Source organism: Homo sapiens, chromosome 5, assembly GCF_000001405.40.
Source record: "Homo sapiens chromosome 5, GRCh38.p14 Primary Assembly".
Taxonomy (NCBI): Eukaryota; Metazoa; Chordata; class Mammalia; order Primates; family Hominidae; genus Homo; species Homo sapiens.
In genome coordinates, this window is record NC_000005.10 from 125,778,717 (window position 1) to 125,800,005 (window position 21,289).

The 21,289-nt window shown below is 36.9% G+C and overlaps 1 long non-coding RNA gene across 1 annotated transcript in view, besides 1 other annotated feature; it reads right to left on the reverse strand.

The window, feature by feature from the left end:
* Positions 1-21,289, reverse strand: part of LOC124901056 (uncharacterized) — an 891,204-nt gene that overhangs the window by 299,622 nt on the left and 570,293 nt on the right. The gene's annotated exons all lie outside the window — the stretch shown is intronic.
* Positions 19,627-19,827: a silencer, noted in NCBI's record as "peak5453 fragment used in MPRA reporter construct". NCBI's record gives its function as "represses an SCP1 promoter by STARR-seq MPRAs in K562 erythroleukemia cells {active_cell/tissue: K562}" and the evidence as "EXISTENCE:reporter gene assay evidence [ECO:0000049][PMID:32103011]".

Genomic DNA, 21,289 nt, shown 5'->3' on the forward strand with positions numbered 1-21,289 from the left:
AGGGCACTGGAAAGGAACAATTTCTCTCCCCTCCTTTCCTTTTTTCTCCTGCACCACCATCAGCTGAATAATACATATAACCTTCCTTTTTTATCAAAAGCAACAGCTGGCAAATTGTTAAACTGTTTGGAAAATTCTGACAAAGTAATGTTAGTTTAAGACAATGCTATCTGACATAAACTTGTCGCATTAGACAGATTAAAAAGACTAATGGAACTATAAGAAAAGAAATAAAAAAGGTCATTGTGCCACAGTAAGATCTTGCCCTGGGCTTGGTCTATAGACAATAGATCTGAAATTGCAGCTGACTGATGCCATTTAAAAGGGAAAGAAGAATCCAACTAAAGGGACCTCTACTAACGCCTCACCCGACCTGTCATTCTTTGGAACACCAGCATGTATAGTTGTAAAAGACGGAATGTAATTATTCTCTATTTTCTCTAGTCACAATTTGAAATGTCAATTTGCATAGCTTGCAAAGCAAACATAGTTTAAAGCATATTTTTCATTGTATTTTTATTATTTCCCCTTTGAATCTTCCCCATCAGTAATATACCAGACTGCCTTTTTCCCCTTATATGAGTGTTTGTGTGTATGTAATAGATGATAACCAGAAAACATTAATGAATATCATTGGTGTTTTTATACACATAAGGAAAAAAGGTTTGTGAGATTTTCTTCATGCATAATATAAACATACTGACTTTACACTAAAATGTAAACATATCAGAATTTAATGAATTTATAAATCAATAGTTTTCAGGTAACCAGGAATTTCATAAAAAAATAATTCCTTTGAAAACACAGATAATTTTTTTATTTACCCAGATAAAATGGACATATTCCTTTGAATAAAATCAAGCAGAAACTGCAAAAAAGCACCCAGTAAAATTAATATCAAACTGTAAATATCAAACTCTCAAATCTATGTTTACAGTAAATAAACCTAAATTGCTATTGTTAAGTGGTCATTTGACGAAATGCTCATGCAAAAGTTATTTTTTGCCATCCTCCAGAGCCTCTGTTTGTCTCTCTTTCTCCCTGACCCTCCCTTAAGCTATTTGAGTGCACACACACACACACACACACACACACACACACACTACTTCTTCTCAAACACTTCCTGATTTAAATGTGTTTAATTTTGTATTTAAACTGAGTCAATTCCATTTTATCTGCTTTCCCTGCCCCTTTATCCTTCCTACTTGGAGTTGATCTAAGATTTTAAGGGCTTGGAATTATTATTATTTTAAGAGAAGAGATTCAGTTCATCCTAGTTTCCCTCCCCTCTGACAACATACTTCATCCCACCTGAGCCTCTGTGATAAGCCAGAAATAATGACAGGTGTCCACAGTCCTGTCTGACTCTACAGTAGATAGTGTCACTATCCATCCTCTTTGTCCTACTCCAAGCAACTTGCAATCCACTGTTCCTCTCAGTACTTTCACATTCCTTCTGGGGGATTTGGGGATACAGAACTGTCTCCGACACCTTCTCTAGTTCTTTGGGCTTTATGAGGCTGGTTTGGGCCCCTGTTGAATCCGTTTTTCACTCTCAACTGCCTGCGGTTGAAAATAATGGTATTCAAAACTATTTTATAGTTCTAAACTTACAAGCTATGTACTAATTGTAGGGAAAAAACTTGGTATGCTCAAAATTATGTGTGTATATGCATGCACATATATGTATGCAGAATTTTGATTGAGTTACAGAAATAATATGTTCATATTAACAACTAAAGAGTACTGAGGGTTCTACAATAAAATTAGTCTCTCATACATTACTGAAAAATTCTTTCCCATAGATCCAATTATGTATAGTTTTTAGATTATTTTCCATATTTTTCTTTATTATTAAAAAATGTAAAATAAATGTGCACATATTTTTGAAAGATGTAGAAAGAGGACATACTCTTGTATTACTATATTATACTCAAATAATAAAAAATTGGTTCTTTAAATTAATATCACATACATCCTCAAAATCAGTATGGATCTGCTTATGATTTTTAAATGACTGTAACTGTTCCAGCCTTTCTCCCTTTCTGCAAGTGACAATTTGTTTCTTTCAGTAATCTTCAGTTCTTCTATTTCTCTCCTATTTCATATGCTATCCATCACTAAATCTTTGGCGTTCAACCTTCTCAATGTGAAGAGATTCCATCTACCTCTCCCCGCTGTCACCCTTGTTCAAGCTGCCATTGCAATAGTCTCCTACTGGTTCCTCCTGCCTCCATCTTTGTACTGCAGTAGTCGTTATTCCACACACAGACACACACACACACACACACACACACACACACACACAAAAAAAAACCCATAGTGATATTTTCAAAATATCACCAGCTGTAAATTTATTTATAAACTTGAATATATCAAATTATTTAAAATGGCAAAACTAAACTATGGTACTTATAGGTACATCCTTGCAAGCTAAAACCATGGAAAACGCTAAAAAGTAATGACTATACAGTTTAAGATAATGGTTACTTTTGGGCAATGGGATGGACATATTGGGGGAGGCTTTACGGTGGTTAACAAAGTTCCACTTCTAAATCTGGGTGGTGGTTTCAAGGATATTTCCCTTGCAGTTTATGACATGTATATTTGTCTGTGTGCTTATCTGTTTCAGTGTTGAGGGTTTTTTTAATTAACAGACTTTATTTTTTAGAGCAGTTTTAGGTTTATAGAAAATTAAAAGTACAGAGAGTTCTACATAGCCCCTCTCTTACAAGACAAAGTTTCTCCTGTTATTAACAACTTGCCTCAGTGTCCTATATTTGAAGCAATATTGATACATTATTATTAACAGAAGTTAATAGTTTACATTAGGGTTCACTCTGTGTTGTAGATTGTTACAGGTTTTCACAAGTCATAATGTCACCTATCCACCATTACGGGTCATATATCATGCTCTAAAAATCCCCTGTGCTTCATCTTTTCATCACCCACCCTTTGCCCACAAAATCCTGGCAACTATTGCTTTGTTTTTACTTTCTCTAAAACTTTGCTTTTTAAAAAATGTCAGAAAGTTAGGATCATACATATGTAGGCTTTTCAAATTGGCTTCTTTCACTTACCAATATGCTATCCAGTTTCCTCCATGTCTTTTTGTGGCTTGATACCTCATTCTTTGAATTGCTGAATAGTAATCCATTGTATAGATGCACCATTTTTTCCATTCAGGTTTTCAAAATTTTATTGTTAATTGACATAGAATAATTCTACGTACTATGGAGTACATAATGAGGTTTCAACACATATAATGTATAGTGATCAGATCAGGGTAATTGGCATGTCCATTATTTCAAACATTTATCATTTCTTTGTTTTGGGAACACTCAGTATCTTCTTACCTATTTGAAACTATATATTATTATTAGCAATAGTCATCCTACAGTGACATAGAACAGAACTTATTTCTACTAACTATAATTTTGTATAGTTACTAGATTAATAAATCTCTCCCATTAATCTTTTGAAAAGCATATTTATAATTGCCCAAATTATAAATTGGCAATTATAAATAAAGCTGCTATAAACATTAGCATACAGGTTTTTTGAAGACATAAGTTTTCAACTTATTTGATTAAGTACTAAAAAAGTGACTGAATGGTAAGACCATTTTGTTTTGTAAAAAACCATGAAAAACTTTCAAAGTGACTGTACCATTTTGGATTTCCAGCAGAAATAAACGAGAGTTCCTGTTACTCTATATCCTCATCAGCACTTGGTATTGTCAGCTTTTTTTGTTTGTTTGTTTGTTTTAAACTTCAGCCATTCTAATAGGTATGCAGTAGTAACTTGTTATTTTAATTTGCAATTTCCTAATGACTATGATGTTGAGCATCTTTTCACATGCTTACTAGTTTTCTGTGTATCTTTTTTAGTGAGGTGTTTGCTCAGAGTTTTGCCCATTTTTAATAGAGTTGTTTGTTTTTATATTGTTGAGTTTTTTAAAGACTTATTTGTGTATTTTGCATACAAGTCCTTTATCTGACATGTATTTTACAAATATTTTCTCCCACTCTGTGCTTTGTCTTTTCATTCTCCTAGCAGTGTCTGTCACAGAGCAAAAGCTTTTTATTTTAATGAAGTCCAACTTACCAATGTTTTATTTCATGGAAAACACTTTTGGTATTGTATCTAAGAAGTCATCATCAATCGTCAACATAAGGTCACATAGATTTTCTCCTATGGAATGTTCCGTAAGTTTTACAGTTTCGCATTTTACATTTAGGTCTATGGTCCACTTGAGTTTATTTTTGTGAAAGAAGTAAATTCAGCATCTACGTACATTTTTTTTTTTTTGCATGTGAATGTCCAGTTGTTCCTGAACTATCTGTTGAAGATTATCCTTTTTCTTCTAATGGATGAGCAAGAAAAGTGGTTTCTTGAGATGGAATCTACTCCTGGTTAAAATGCTGTGAACATCATTGAAATGACAGCAAAGATTTCAGGAGAGTACATAAACCTAATTGACAAAACAGGGGTAGGGTTAGAGCGGATTGATTCCAATTTTGGAAGATGTTCTACTGTTGATAAAATGCTATCAAAAAGCAACACACGCTACAGAGGAATCTTTCATAAAAGGAAGAGTCAATCAATGGGACAAACTTCATTGTTGTCTTCTTTTCAGAAATTGTCACAGTCACTCTAGCCTTCAGCAACCATCACCCTGATCAGTCAGCAGCCATCCATATCAAGGCAAGAGCCCCCACCAGCAAAAAGGTTACGACTTGCTGAAGGTTCAGATGATTGGTGGCATGTTTTAGCAATAAAGTATTTTGAAATTACACTATGCACATTGTTTTTTAGACATAATGCTATTACACACTTAATATAGTACAGTTTATTGTAAACATAATTTTTTATGCACTGGGAAACCAAAAATTTTGTATGACTTGCTTTGTTGTGATAGTCACTTTATTGTAGTGATCTGTAACTGTACCTGCAATATCTCCAAGGTATATCTGTATGTAAACTCAGTGCTATAAATTTGCCTCTAAGAAATGCTGTTACTGCATTTCACAAATTCTGTTAAGGTGTATCTAATACTTATTTAGTTAAGAATATTTTTAGTTTCTCTTTAGACTATTTCTTAGATCCATGTGATTTTAGAAGTGTGCTGTTTAATCTCCAAATACTTTGAGATTTTCCAGCCTTTTTTGTTATTCATTTCTAGTTTAATTCCATTGTGATCTGAGAACATACTTTATATGATTCTTATTCTTTTATGTTTGTTGAGGTATATTTTATAAACCAGAGTTTGTTCCTTGGTGTGTATTCCATGTGAGCTTAGGAAAAATTTGTATTTTGATGTTGCTGGTTGAAGTATTCGGTAAATGTTAATTAGATTCAGTTGATTAATGATGCTCTTCAGGGTAACTATATTCTTACTTGTTTTCTGCCTGTTGGATCTGTTCATTAATGATAGAGGTGTGTTGAAATCTTCAATTATAAGAGTGGATTTGCCTTTTTCTGCTTGCAGTTTAATCATTTTTTGCCTCACATATTTTGATAATCTGTTATTAGGCACATATACAATAAAACTATTCTGGCTTATTGGAGTACTGATTACTTTTCATTATTTAATGACCCATTTTATCCTTTATAATTTCCTTTCTTCTGACGTCTGCTTTGTCTGAAATTAATTCACCTATTCCAATCTTCTTTTGGTTAGTGTTAGGATGGTGTGTATTTACTCTATATCTTCATATATAGAAGGAGTTTCTTGTATACACTATGTGGTTGGGTCTTGGTTTGTTTTTTGTTTTCTCCATTCAGTCTTTTATTTGGTGTTGGACAATTCACATTAAAGTGATTATTGATATAGTTGGGTAAATATCTACCATTTTTTAACTATTTTTTATTTATACACTGGTTCTTTCTTTTTGTATTCTTTTTCTGCTCTCTCTGGTTTTAATTATTTTATATGATTCTGTTTTCTCCCTTCTCTATTATGTCCATAATACCTCTTTTAAAATTGTTCATGATTGTTTCTAATTGTTCTAGACTTTGCAATATACATTTGCAACTAATGAAAGACCACTTTCAAACAACACTGTACTGTTTCACAAGTAATGCAGGTACCTTAACAAAGTATTCTCAATTCCTCCTCCCACCTTTTATAGCATTGTTGTCACTCATTCTACTTATCCATAAACTATAACCACCCAATATATTGTTTTGTTATTATTTTGAATAGTTACCCATTACATTGATTAATAAAAATAAACAAATTGTGGTATTTTACCTTTATTTATTCTTTCTCTACTACTCTTCCTTTCCTTATGTAGGTCTGAGTTTCTGACCTATATTGTTTTCTTCTCTCCGAAGTACTTCTTTTAATTTTTTTTGCAAGGCAGGTGTACTGATGACAAGTTACCTTGGTTTTTGATTTTTTCAGAAAGTATTTGTCCTTCACTTTTGAAGGATATTTACTACATACAGAACTCTGTTTTTTTTTTTTCTTTCAGATTGTTAAATATTTCACTCTACTCTTTTCTTACTTGCCTGCTTGCTGAGGAGACACTCAATGCAATTCTTGTTCTTTTATAGGTAAAATCTCCCTTTCTCTTTCTCTCTCTCTCTCTTTCTCTCTCTCTCTACCTGTCTCTACCCAGCCCCTCTGTCTTCTTTTAAGAGTTTCTGTTTGTCTTTTATGCCTGCAATTTGAATATGATGCGTCAAGATGCATATGTTTTAGTATTCACCTTGATTTATGTCTCGGAGCTTCCTGGATCCACGATTTGGTGTTTGTCATCAATTCTGGAAAATTCCAAGTCATATTACTCAAATATTTCTTCTGTTTCTCTTTTTCCTGTTATTCCCACTATACATATGTTATACCTTTTGTAATTATCTCTCAGTTCTTGAATATTCTGTTCCATTTTATCATTCTTTTTTATTTTTGGTGTCTAGCATTTCATTTTGTATCTTTCTTAGAGTTTCATCTATCTATTCACATGGTCCAATTGTTCTTCTATGTTGTTTACTTCTTCCATTAGAGCCCTTAGCATATTAATCATAGTTATTTTTACTTCTCCATCTGATAATCCCAAAATCTCTATCCTATATGAGTCTAGTTCTGTTGCTTGCTTTGTCCCTTCGAACTGTGTTTTCACTTGTATTTTTTATGCCTTGTAGATTTTTCTGAAAGCTGAACATAATACATTAGGTTATAGAAAGCAAATAGGGTTTTAGCATTAAGTTTTATGTTTATATGTCTAGGAGTTACAAGATGTTTACAATTGTCTGTGGCTGTTGGGTATGAGGTTTCAAATTCCTCTATCATCCTTGTTTGTGTCTCTCTTGTTTTGGGTTTGACACTCCTCCTTAAATAGGGTCTGAGCACTTCGTAGTTCTTTCAACCATAATCCTCTGTTATGATACAGCAGCCCTGTGATGTGGCATAAGATTGAAGGAGTAGTGTATCCTACGATCAGATATCAGTCTTTTAATGAGACTGTGCCCCTAGGCTGTGACCTCCCCAAGTGCTTCTGAGTCCCCTCATCCCCTCCCACCACCACTTAGGTGAGTCAGGGAGACTACTAGGGGCTAGAGTTGGGTATTTCCTTCCTCCTTGCTATTCAAGCTCTGGTGAAGTAGTTTCCTTTAAAGTAAAGAATAGAATGCTATGGATGTATTTAGAATGGTTATACTTCTCCTCCCCCTGAAGAGAATGTGAAGGTGTTTACTCTGGTCTTCACTGGGAGAACCTATCAGAGCTCTTGCAGGTAAAACTCACAAAAGTGTGAGGGCTTTTTTAAGACTGGGCACCCTGGAGTTTTTCACTCTCATGCCAATCCTCACTTAGTGTCTAGCCATTCATCAATTACAGTTTAAGTTTTCTTACCACTTCCAGTGGCTCCAGTGGTTTCTGCTTCCAGCGTGCTATGGTTCTTTGTATTTGCATGTCTGTCTCTTTCCAGTTTCAGGGCACTGTTGTGTGCTCAATTATGTGATGGATTTAAGAAAGCATGTATAATGTTTAATATTTTCTGCTTTTTTCTTGTTGTTAGTATGGGAGTGACAACTTTCAGGGTGTTTAAGTTTTAATAAAAAGTGTAATTGATTTGAAAAGAGAGACTAGGAAAACACACACACACGTTGGTCTGGTCATGTCATTTGTTTGTTCAAAACCTTCCAATAATTTCTCTTTGCACTCAAAATAAACCCCAAGATCTTTTTTGTTACACAGAAGTACCTAACTCATGCGGCTCCCTGCTACCCCTCTGATCATATCTCTTACCTATCTTGCCCCTACTCAACATACTCCAGCCTTGCAGGCCTCTTTGCTCTGCCTTGAACGTATCAAGAACATGCCTAAGGACCTTTGCATTTTCTCTTCCTCTGCCTAGAAAGCTCTTCTCAGATATAAATAGGTTATTCCTTTACTCCATTGTTACCTTTCCCAGTATCCATACACAGCCACGCCACATAAAATACCATCATTTATTGCATCATTTCCTGTTTGTTTTATTCATCTTATTGAAATCACCCTTGCAAAAATTATAACAGTGAGAAAATTATGACAGTAATAGAAATCTGATCTAACCAACCTCCATCTTGCCTTTAACCTCCAAACTGTCCTTAATCATTCCTAGGCTTATGCTAAGCTAACTGTGGGAGACATTTAGTTTATAGTTTAAATGATAACAGCCCTTACCCTAAACTAACCTGCCTTTGTAAAGATAATGAAAGGCCAGCAGGATAGGAGGATGAGAGGAGCCTGAATTCTGTGAATGTACCAGTCATGACATAATATGTAACAGGTACCAGTCATTATTCCAGAGTTCGCAAGATTTGCAACTTTAATTACTCCTGCAGATGATATCACTATTGTAGAACCTAAAATTTGTCTTCTGAGATGTCTTTTCAGGTTTTTGCATTTCTGATGACTGCATTTCCACCTGAAGCCATGAAACGGTCTCATGGCCCTACTCAGAAATGGACTTAGCACACAAAAGAACCATTTTCTATACTCTTATGATTGTATTCCCAACCAATCCATGGCATCCATTCCCTGGCCCACCAAACTATCTTTGAAAAACCCTACCCTCATAATTTTTGGAGAGATTGATTTGGGTAATAACTCGGTCTCCCATGTGGCGTGGCCAGCCTCGTATCAATTAAACTGTTTCTTTATTGCAATGCCATGGTCTTAGTGAATTGGTTTTGTCTGTGGAATGGACAGGAAGAACCATTGGGTGGTTACCTTATTAGCACTTATTGATATCTAAAATATGTACTTCTTTTTTTTATTGGTTTAGTGTCTATCTTCTCTCAATGAAATCAAACTCCATCAGAGCTGGAAATTAATTTGTTTTGAGCCTAGTACCTAATAAGAACTCAAAAAATATTTGTAAGTAAGTAAATTAATAAATCAGAAGTATTTGCTATCATACACTATAATGTATTTAATCCTTCCTTTATTAAGAGACATTAAGGTTATATCGAATTTTTCACCGATATAATAAATATAGAAATTCATGTTTGAATGGGTACTCAATATTATTCACCGATTCACAGTTCAGTTGTGTAAGGAAGAAAAGCTAAGTTGGACAAAAGTTTCACTAATAAAACAATCACTTCTAAGAGTAGTCCTCTCTCCAGTTTTCCTCTCTGCGGTACTGTGTAGTACTGGTGTCTGTCTCCCACCACCACATCTTTATTGTCTGTCGCCTGTTCATTATTATCAATAGATGTTGTACTTGAATTTGTTCGTTTTGGAATAATATGCAATATTAATGCAAATTGATTTTAACATGTTACCATACATTTCACGAGAGGAAATTTGTTTCATGCAGTGAGATTAAAGAAATGCGAAAATCACAAAAATGATTACAATAGCAAAATGGCATAGTTAAACCGCTTGTCATGGACAGAAGAGAAGACTGACAACTATGATGTTGTGATATATATTTCTACTTATTTTATCATTAAAGGACTTTTGGTCTTTTGGAATAAATAAGATTCTTTTAATAATTTTGTTGCTAAAGTCATAAATCGGGGATTTAATATCATGCTACCATAAAGTGTTTTTGGAAATACTGCATCCAAAATGCCAAGATTTAATCCATCCATAACTTGTGAAGAAATAGCCCACAGAAGCAATTATAATCTAATTTTATCACATACCAAGTACATTTATTTTTATAATATTTGTATGAATTTCTGAAAAAAATTTCCTCATTATATAACATTTCACCACTTTTAATAAAATTCAGTACCCATTTAAAATGGATTCAGTTAAAGTGGATATTTATTAACTAGTTCTTCTCAGATAACTGTGATCCTCTGGGATTAATCCAGAGGTGGGCTTTTAGGAAGCCGAGTTCCTATCTAGTACATAGTATCAATTGTCCCTCCTGGTATTTTATAGTTAAGCTGAATTACTATTATCTGACTGCACTGACCACTAATAAATAAACAGTAATGTTTATAGTATAAATTAATAAAAGTGTAATCACTGAACTCAATGGGAACATTTTAAGTTTTGACAGATATTAACAAATATCTCACCAAAACATCTTTACAAAATTACACTTTTATCAACAATTTATGAGACTATCTTTTCCTTCTTTTTTGCCAATATATTGTAAATTTTTGAATCTTTTGTTAATGTCTTAGACAAAAAAGGGTATCTTATTTTGATTTGTATTTTCCTAATCACCAGTGAGGTTGAAAATATTTTCATATCTTTTTTATTCTTGTAAATCACCTCTTATAACCTTTGCTCTTTTTTCCAAATGAGTTATCATTTCAAAATAGATGTATATGTATTTTTTAAAACTTAACCTTTGCCTCATGTAGACAATGCAAAGATGTCCTACTTATCTATCATTACTTTTTTAATTTCTCTGATGTTAATTTTTTCACCCTGTAGGAGATTTAAATTTCTCTGTAGTCAAATGTATCAGTATTTTTAACTATTGGAGTTAGATATAAAATTTCATCCTATATACACACATAAACACATACACATTTTAGGTCAAGATTACAAACATTAAGATTATTAAATTGCTGCCTTATATTTTCTTCTATAATCTTTATAAATTTATTTGCTTATTTCATTCCTAAAATAATCTGAAGTTTGTCTGAGAGAGTGTGTGTGGTCAGGGGTGGGTGTCTGTACATAGGATGAAATGTATGTCTAAACTATTTTTCTCCTACTTCATTTTCAATTGTCCCAATACCATTTGTTTAAGCAGTATATCATTTTCATTGATTGGAAATTCCATCTTTATTGCAAACAAAATTGCTACATATTTATGGCACTGATTTCTGGGGTCTTATGTTTCAATGAAATATTTCTGTACCAGTATCACATTTGCTATAGATTATATGTTTGTGTCTCTCCAAAATTTATATGTTGAAACCTAATCTCCAATGTGATGGTGTTTTGTGGTGAGGCCATTGGGAGGTGATTAGGTCATGAGGATGGAACCGTCATGAATGGTATTAAAGTTCTTAAAAAGAGGCCCCAGAGAGCTCCCTTCTCCTTCAGCCATGTGAGGACACAGTGGCCAGACAATGTCTATGAATTAGAAAGTGGACCCTCATCACACACCAAATCTGCCAGCACCTTGATCTTGTACTTCTTAGTCTCTAGAACTGTGAGAAATAAATTTTTGTTTCTTATGAGCCCTATAGTTTATGGTATTTTGTTACAGCAATCTGAATGGATTAAGACAATACTTTTTAAGCAGGGGAGTTTTGTAGTTTATTTTATATCTGGTATATCAAGACCCGCCAAATATTTTCTTCCTTTTTTTCTTCTTTAATTGATTATTCTTCTTCTTTAATTGATTATTCTTTATGTTTTTCTTTTCAGATGCCAACTTTCATAATATCCCATTGGGATTTTCATTGGGTGTTATTAAATTTATAACTTAAAATTTAGATAACTGGCATCTTTACAATATATTTTCCTAATTAAAAATATCATATGTATTCTGGGGTAAGCAGGTATATGCCAATCTAAAACCCCCAAATCTATATCAAAGTCCAAGGGAGCTGAGAGACAAAAGAAAGAGGTTGACAAATCCAGTTTCTCAGAAAGAAAATAGTTAATAGGGACTTACAAACAGAATCAATATCTTAAGCTGCTGCAAGACAGTCGATCCCCACAACCATCTTCTAGAAAGCATTCTTTAAATAGCAAGTGTTTAAGTTAAAATACGTGTATCTGATCATGTCTCAGACTTCTTGCCGAAACTGGTGACCACTGCGGATGTTAGAGAAGTATCTTTATGAGGGGTTACTTATGATACAGGACTTGTTTTAAGACCTTGCTGCAGGAATGCCTTGGTGTGCAGGAACCAAACATCAATCATCGTGCCAGTTTTGCTTCAAAAGGGCATCACTCTTGCCATGCAACAGGCTATTTTCATACATTCCACGCCTCAAAACTGGCCCTTACATTCTCATGCTCCCGCCTCTTTCATGATAGTACCTGGGCCTAGAGGGAGAGTTCTTGATATCGTACAGCTTTAGCAACAACCTATTGGCTCCATTGGAAACAAATGCTGCAGCAATGCTAAAGACAAAAACAGGACAGTAAACAACATATGAGTGTAATACCTAATAGGAGAAGCAGCTTCTGGCAACAGGTGCCCCAGGACCCAAACCAGCTATGAAGCTATTCATTCAAAGTGGGCATTCAATCTGAAAGACTGGATTTTGGGGTTTTCATATCAGTCACTGTCAGTCTGATTTATCAGGAATACAAACACAACATTCAATTTTTATGATCACACAAGTCCCCCATTGGGCATTAATGGGTATGTCTGAAGATATGCAATTTTGGAGGACAGGCTTTCTCATGAGAGTAACTTCCATGTTTAAAAAAGATGTTCCCATGTGGCTATCATTCAAGGCTTTATTTGTATAAACTGTTAGAGCTTCCACATGCCAAATAACATATTTGATGCCCAACTGAAAAATAAAAATAGAGGCCATACGATTACACCAATGGAAAACAGATTAGGCCCAGTGGGACTTCAAATGAAAGAGATTTTTAGGCTTTGTAAGAATAGCAACTATTTGGCCTTATGCCCATGTATAAACAAAGAATATCTTCCTGACCATCCAGGGAGTAACCAAGGCCATAACTTGGTGCCACATATCCAAGAAGTTTTGTTTGAGGCCAACCAATATGTTTCTGGATGCATTGCTCATTCTGTACCATGCCAGTCAGTACTTGGTAATATTTTCCCATATAAACATCAGTCTCTTGATATCCATTTCATATTCCTTGTGCTATTTGGCCAAGTATATTTAGAATGATTCTTTTGTTCCCAACATGGTGGTGGGTGGGGGGACAACTTTACTAAGCTGGCCAAAAGACGGAGTTAGCCAAATAAACCCATCCTATAATTGGGTCCTGACATCACAGTAATGGGTCGTTTTGTCCTTTCAATTGGGTTGTTGCCAGTTGGAGAGCAAGTTAAATAGTTTCACTGAAAGAAAAATGCTTCCCATGTCCCTTTTCAGAAAGGGTATTATTAATGGGCCATTGAGCTATTTTATCTCTGGTCATATTTGTAATACCATCACGTAATTTTGAGAAGCAGTGACATATTCCTGATATTCTATCCAACCTCATCCTTGGAAGGGAGATATCCACCACAGCAAGCTAGAAACACCAGTGAATGGCATGAGGCCACATATCTGACAGATGATTGACAAGACTAGCCATCAGCATAGTCTTGGACCCATTATAGGAAAAGGTTTGCTTCATAGGTGTTGGCTGATGATAATAGCCACAGAAAATAACTAAGGACAAAAAGCAAGAAACTTAAGTATTTCCAAGGGAAGATCTCCTCCATCTGTTAGGAATATACTAGTTGTTTATTAAGGGTAGTTATCAAAGAAGTAGCTCTTGGCTTTTGCAACATACCATATATGTTGCCCAGGGGATGACCTGTCAGCAGTGGTTGTCAAAGTAATTTGGTCAAGAGTACACCATATTAGAGAACCCACCACCATGCCACAGGGTATATATATTTCTGCTGACCATTTAAAGTGGATGATCGTGGGTCTATTATTCAGTAGGCTCAATAAGGTCTATTATCCATAGGCTCAATAGCTCCTACTATCCAGCATGTTCTCCACTCTCTGGAAGGAAATAGCCTATACAGCCTGGGGGTATTTGTCATCCCAAGCCCCAGAGGAGTGTCCCCTTCCCTGGTAGTATGTTCACTGGTGTCTTCATGTGCAAAACATGTTGGTTGTCAACCAGGTCTGGGGGAAGAACAGTTGCCTCAGTCACCCGTAGAGAACAGTGATAGGCTGGGGGGCGGGGGAAGCAGTTGTCCCAACAGGTCATATGGGGCAGGTGCCCCCTCCTTTGGCTAAATTTTAAAAGTAAAGGCTGCGGATAACATATACATCTACCTGGGCAGGAAGGTTTCCCCAGTAAGGTCCACATTTGTGCTTTCAACAGACCATTTTTCCTTCAATTACCCCTGCTGCTTAGGGGTTATGTGGTAAATGAAAGTGCCATGCTATACTGTGTTCCCTTGCCCAGTCATGCATATCACATCTAGCAAAAGGGGTCCCTTGGTCACTGTCAGTGTGCTGGGGATATCAATACATAGTACTGAAAGCCTCTAAACCTTTAGTAGTACTGGCTTGATTAGCTTACAAGAAAAACCTTGTATCACTCCCAATAGCAGTGTTTGCACAGTTTAACACATATTTCTTTCCTTGGAGGTCCTATGTAATCTACTTTCCAATTGGTTACAGGGTGGATAGCCCTACAAATGTTTCCTGCTTGTTATGGTATATGCCATGGATACAATCAAGAACATGGTAAACAGTTTGTAACAGCTGCTAGGGGGTCACTATATTTTAAGGCCACTCCTGCCCCTCCTTGGCTATCTCTCAGCCTACTCTTGCATTTCTATGATCACTTTTGTTATGTACCCAGGTCACTACATTAGCAGCCTGAGTCAGCATAATGCTTCTGATTTTTGTTAGAATGTCAGCTTCATATCTCTTGGATTTGAGTCTTTTTTTTTTTTTCCTGCAGCCAAATGAAATACAATTAAATCAACTGCAGGTGTTGCAGCTTCTCCCATATATCTTGCCACATGTTCATGCTCCATCCAGGCTTGCGCATAATCATCCCATCCACTTTTCTTGTTACATTTGGGCTAACTACATAGTTAGAACTTTGAATATAGCTAAGCTACCAGTGCAAAGAACCAGGTGCCAGGGCTCATGTGTGATTACTAACCAAGCAGCTCTCAACTCTGCCCACTGACTACTCTGATGCGTATCTGTATCAAGCCAGATTTTATCAGTTTGTGGTTGTATAGCAATAGCAGTCCAAGTAACGTGGCTTCCTCTACTGGAGCCATCCATATACCAAGCATTGTCCAGATGGGTAACAATTTTTTCTTACTATATCAGGCATTAGAGTAGGAGGAGCTAAAGGGGAGTCCTTTGTTTGCTCAAATGTAACAGGGCCTAATGCAGAATGAGAGTCTGAGCTTAAGGAACTCGTTGCCAAAACTCTTCACTGTTGCAAATAGGCATGCCATTTATTCAAGATTGGTGTTTGGGCTACAGTGGAGGTTAATTGTTTAAACAGTCCTTCTGTCTATCCCTTGATTGGTAGACCTGTTCTCACAATCACAGGAAAGGTCTTTGTCAATGGCTCCACTTGCTGTAAAGCACTATATACTACTGGCACTTAATGTTCAATGGGAGAGCATTTGGTTTTGGCTCCTTTCCATAATTGTGACCAAAATCCTAAAGGAACTGACCTACCATTCTGTGGTTACCATAGGCCCAGCTCACACCTCAGGAGTAGCAGTCACATCCAAAGTCCTAGCTATTCCCTCTAAAGTGGCACCTAAGGCTTATGCCTGCCATACTAGCACTTTAGCTTGTTCAAAGCTTCTTGCTGAGGTGTGCCACAAGCTCAATATTTCCCTTTTATCATAAGTCTATATAATGGTCTCAAACACTAGGCTAAATGTGAGATGAATGCTTTCCAATAACCCAAAAATGCCACAAATGTTTGGATTTCTTTTACTGCTTTTAGAGTTGGAAATTGCTGGACTTTGTCAATTAATATACCTCATGTAAAATGAGTCTTACCCAACCACGCAACCCCTAAAAATTTCAGTCTGGGCCCTGGATCTTCCAAGGGTTGATTGGTTACCCTTGTTCCTACAAAAGAGTACACAATGCTGTAAGATTTTCCTGTAACACATTAAAATTTTCTAAGGTTAACATAATGTCATCAATATAATGAAACTAAGAAAGAGAAGACAGGAATGAGAACAAAGAAAATTATCTAGCCATCATTCCATGATAAATAGTAGGCCTGTGAAGATATCCCTGGGAAAACACTTGAAAGCTCTACTGCAGACCTTACCAGGTAAAAGCAAATTAATCTTGTGATTGTTCAGAGAAAGAAATGCTGAAAAATGCATTAGCCAAATCTAAGAGAGCATAAAGTCTCCAGCACAGACACTGTGTGTTTGACTAACTAAGTAATATTAGGAACTACAGCACATATGGCCAGGGTTACCTTATTCAGTTCCATTAATTCACAGTCATCTACCAGGTACTTTCTGGTTTGCACCTGGTTTGTGTACAGGCCAGACGAGGCTGTTAAACAGGCTTTGAGCTGCAAGGATAATATGCACCTTTGCCAATTCCTCAATAGTTGCACTTATTTCAGCATGCCCCACCTCCCCCCCAACACACACCCAGTCAATTTGCATTGTTTGACATTGACAACCTGCCTAGGGACAGGGAGTTGTACAGGTAACCATTTTGCCTCTCCACTGAGAGTAGCCTTTACTACATGCACCTTCAATCTGAATTAACCCACTGAAGTTTGCAAAGTCTTTCATAATAGAATATCCATGACTATAGTGTTTTCTGGAATAGAGGAAATAAACACCATATATAGGGCAAGAGAAGCCTTTTCAATAACTAAATGTATTAAAGTTCTTTTTACTTAGATCATTTCCCCTCACCCCCATAACCATCAATGGTAGACCACTGACTAGGGTGTCCTTGTGGATTTCCATGTATTAAAGTACATTCTGCCCCAGTATCTACTAAGGCAATAGTCTTCTCTGTATGTAGGGGTACAAGTAAATGGTGAGCTCAGTATGGGGCTTCTGATTGCCCCTCTGTTGCTGGCATGTGGGTTTGACCTTGGCCTCACTCCTAATCGCTGGGCCAGATGGGGGCCACCCCTGAAAGGCCAGGGCCTTAGAACTAGGAGTGGAGTTGTCTTTCCCTTCTACCAGAAGGGCAAAAGGGAAAGAACAAAACTACTGTTCATGCTGTAGTTCCCTCCATAAAGCTGCTAATATAACATTAGATTGTCTATTTCTCCTCAGAGTGTTGTTCCTGCTTCCAATAAATCATACTACATTTGCTTACATGAGACCTTTATTGGTGCCTTTCCCCTTTTTTCTCCTTCTTTCTGTGGAGTTTTCTTCTTACCATACGTTAGCCTTTGTCAGATTACTAGGAATACTCTGTCTCTGACTTTCTTGGTTTCTCCCAAATCTATGATGGCTTCTCCCACATCATTTACATCTTGCTCCACTATAAGATTCAACAAAGACAGCAAATGGCCATGCCATTCTCTTGGTGCACCCTGTAGCAATTAGTTTTTAATACTGGCAGTAACAACTTCCTTATCAGATCCTGCAAAAACCTGAGCATAGATAGCTTGTCTCATTCTTAATCCTTTGAGAGGCCCCTGGGCCTTTTTGATTAACTGCCAAGAGGTTGTCCCTCCTGGTAAACCTCCTTCATTAGGCAAGCCTCTCTCACAGCTACAATGATCCAGTCCATAAGTTTATAATTCCCTTGCATTATGAAGGTGTTGCCACAGAGCTGAGCAGGTGGTGATTTTACTCATTATTTTTCTGCTTAATTCTTGGCTAAGGAAACATCATCACCTCCTGTGTCCCACAGTCAGACCATCCAAGCTGTCAGGGGTTCCCTGAGTAGTTGTTTAAAGGTCTTTTCATTCTCCAAGAGAGTCTCCTATATCACTTGTTCCCCTTTTGCTGCAGTTGTTGAGCTTTTGCTTTCCTCTGCATTAGAGAGTGAGCTTGCCAATGATTCTTGTCCCCCTTCTATGTCATCAGTCTTCCTCTCCAAAACATTCTCAGGGATTCCAAGTTTTCATGTTTCAATCTGGCTCAGGTATGATAGCTCTGAATTTTGGTCATTTCCATTTATTTTCTCCTAGGTGGGCAAATCTACATGCTAACATTTCAATTTTTGTCTCCTGGTCTTCAATTTTGTCCACTAAGTTGGATGCAAGGAGAGAAGTGGAAATGCACATGCCTTTCTAGCGGCAATTCTTCCTTTAGCTGTTTAATTTTTGTTTCTGCTACTAGGTAGGCCTCTGTTACCAAATGAATGGCCTACAGAAGTGGCCAACCCACTGCAGTGGCTACCAGCCACCCTTCCTTACTGCAGTGTGATATGTAGCTTTGAAGTAATAACTGCTCTTCGCCAACCAGCATTTTCAGGGTACTAATGTGGAGGTCCCCAAGTGTCTAACAGACATGCCACACCACCCCACAGAGACATGGCTAGCCATACTGATATTTTCCCTACAGATTCTTTAGTCAATTTACTTATTTCTTGGTTTCTCAGTTCCTGGCTAGCTTGCAAAGAATTCAGGGTGAGCAAGTATATGAAAGCCTACCTCAAAAGGCCAAAGGAGATGAGATGTCAAAGAAGGAGCCTGACAGATCCAGTTTCTCAGACAGAAAATATTTAGTAGGGAATTACAAATGAAGTGATATCTGGGGTGGCCACAAGATGGTGGATTCCTTCACATGCCCTCCAGAAAAGATCCTTTATATAGCAAGCTTTTGGGGTAAAACATGTGCAGCTGGTCACATCTGAGACTTTCTTGCTAAAACTCATGACCACTAGGGAGGTTAGATAAGCATCTTTATGAGGGATTATCTATGTTACAAGCATCGTTTTAGGGCCTTGCTGCAGAACACCTTGATATGTAGAGGTCAAACATTGGTTATCTTGATGGTTTTGCTTCAGGATGGTGTCACTCTTGCCAGGCAACAGGCTGATTTTTATTTTGTTTTATTTTATTTTTATTTTTATTTTATTTATTTTTGTCTTGAGACGGAGTCACGTTCTGTCGCCCAGGCTGGAGTGCAGTGGTGCGATCTCGGCTCACTGCAAGCTCCGCCTCCCGGGTTCACACCATTCTACTGCCTCAGCCTCCCGAGTAGCTGGGACTACAGTCGCCCGCCACCACGCCTGGTTAATTTTTTGTATTTTTAGTAGAGACGGGGTTTCACCATGTTAACCAGGATGATCTCGATCTCCTGACCTCGTGATCTGCCCGCCTTGGCCTCCCAAAGTGCTGGGATTACAGGCGTGAGCCACTGCGCCTGGCCCTGATTTTTTAAAGTATTAATTTTCACTTACCCAGGTCTTCTTTTACGTTTTTCTCTTTCTAATATTCAATGGAAATGTGTTCAGTGTTATGCAATTAGTTGTGATGTTTTCCACAGACTTCGAGAGTATCTCTTTCAGATAAAATTCTTCAGAAGTTAATGAAATTTTTTCTATATTTAGTTAGTAGGAGTCAGTGAAACCATAGATATTACTTACATTTTGTTTTGTTTTAAATAGAATAAAGGAGCTGAAGTCATGTCATTTATTTATTAACTGTTTTTCCCACCAGACTATAAGCTCCATAAGAAGAATAATACTCTGTAATTTTTTTTGCAATTCAGCACCAAGGACAGAGCCTCTCACTACCTGATGAAAAATGAATGAAACATTTAGGGATTTACCCAATGCTTCATAAGCCAGAATATGATTTTCTGTTTCAGTGGAAAATCTTGGATCTTTTCCACCAATGATGTCCACTGAGTTTTAATTCTGACACTTCCTCTCAGTGTCAAGGTGATTTGGAGTGAGTTATTAACCTTTTTGAGTCTCCTCAAGAAAAATTGTAGGGAATGATACATAAACCATCATTTTGTGTAATTCTCACAATGGCTTTATGTATCATCTCCACAGATCTGACTCCAAACAGGATATATTTAAGTCTTAAAATCTTGAGGAAACAAATCACAAAAAAATGTTTTAGAGGTTTGGCTCTTATTTCTGAGGGATGAGATTTATCAGAGCTCTCCAGGTCAACATTAAACTTAAGTTGGTATGTAAGAGTTTGAAGCTTCTGAGAAGCAGATACTAAGAGGTGTGCATTAGGAGAAATGCCTGTGAAGGGGAAGCAAATAGGAGTAGCCATCAAGAGTGGGTTCAATGCAGGCTTAAGGAATAACAGCTGGAGGGATAGGGTCAGAAGAGCCCCAGATAGCAAAGCAGTTCTGAGGTAATCTTGATCAGGTCAATGGGAGTCTCTAAGCAAAATCTGCCTGGTAAATAGTGTTAAGTAAGAATGGTCTGCAAGTACCCTCACTGGGAACAGCCCAGGGAACACTGGCTTCAGTGCAGTGGTGGATCTAGAGAGGAAGCAGCTGGGGCTGCCAATCTGCTCCTCAAAGTAGTTGTCTTGAAGGAGATTTGAGTAGCATATTTCCATGGCTGCCACAATATATATACACATAGTACTTGATGACTCAGAAAAAAAATTGCTCAATCAAGCAAATTTCCTTCCTCGCCATTACTTTGTCATCCTGAGGTACGTTCTGAAGAGAAACAACATCCATGGGAATATCTTATTTTATAGATAAGGTAGAAAAACCAGGAGAATAAAAATACCACTTCTACTTTTAGCTTGTTATCATCTTTCAGGAGGTAAGGAGAAATCACCCTGGCCTTCTCCCATCCCTCACATGACCCTTTTGCTCCCTCCTCTAGTTCCTCTCCTTGCCCTGCAAATCCCAAGGGTCAGGTTCTGGCCTGCTGCTTTTCTCTTTCCCTGCCTCTCATGAATGAAGTCTCATTACATCCACAATTGTGCCATGCAATCCTTACATATTTCTTTTCTACAGCTCCAGTCCTAAGTTACAAACCCAACTACCTCATGGAGACCCTGACTTAGATATTTCAATACAACTTTAACTGGCCATGTAAAAAAGTCTTAAAAAGCTCATTTTCCTCTTCCATTTGGCTCCTCCTTTGACTTCCTTATTGTTGCCAGTTATGTTTTTTTCCCAAAGAAGCCATGCTTGAAAGGTTTAAGTCCTCCCCTCCCTGCATTGAGGATTATAAGGGTTTGTCAATCCCTTTTCATAAAAAAGCCTTTAAACATTCCCTTCATTTCTGCTGACAGTACTGTAGT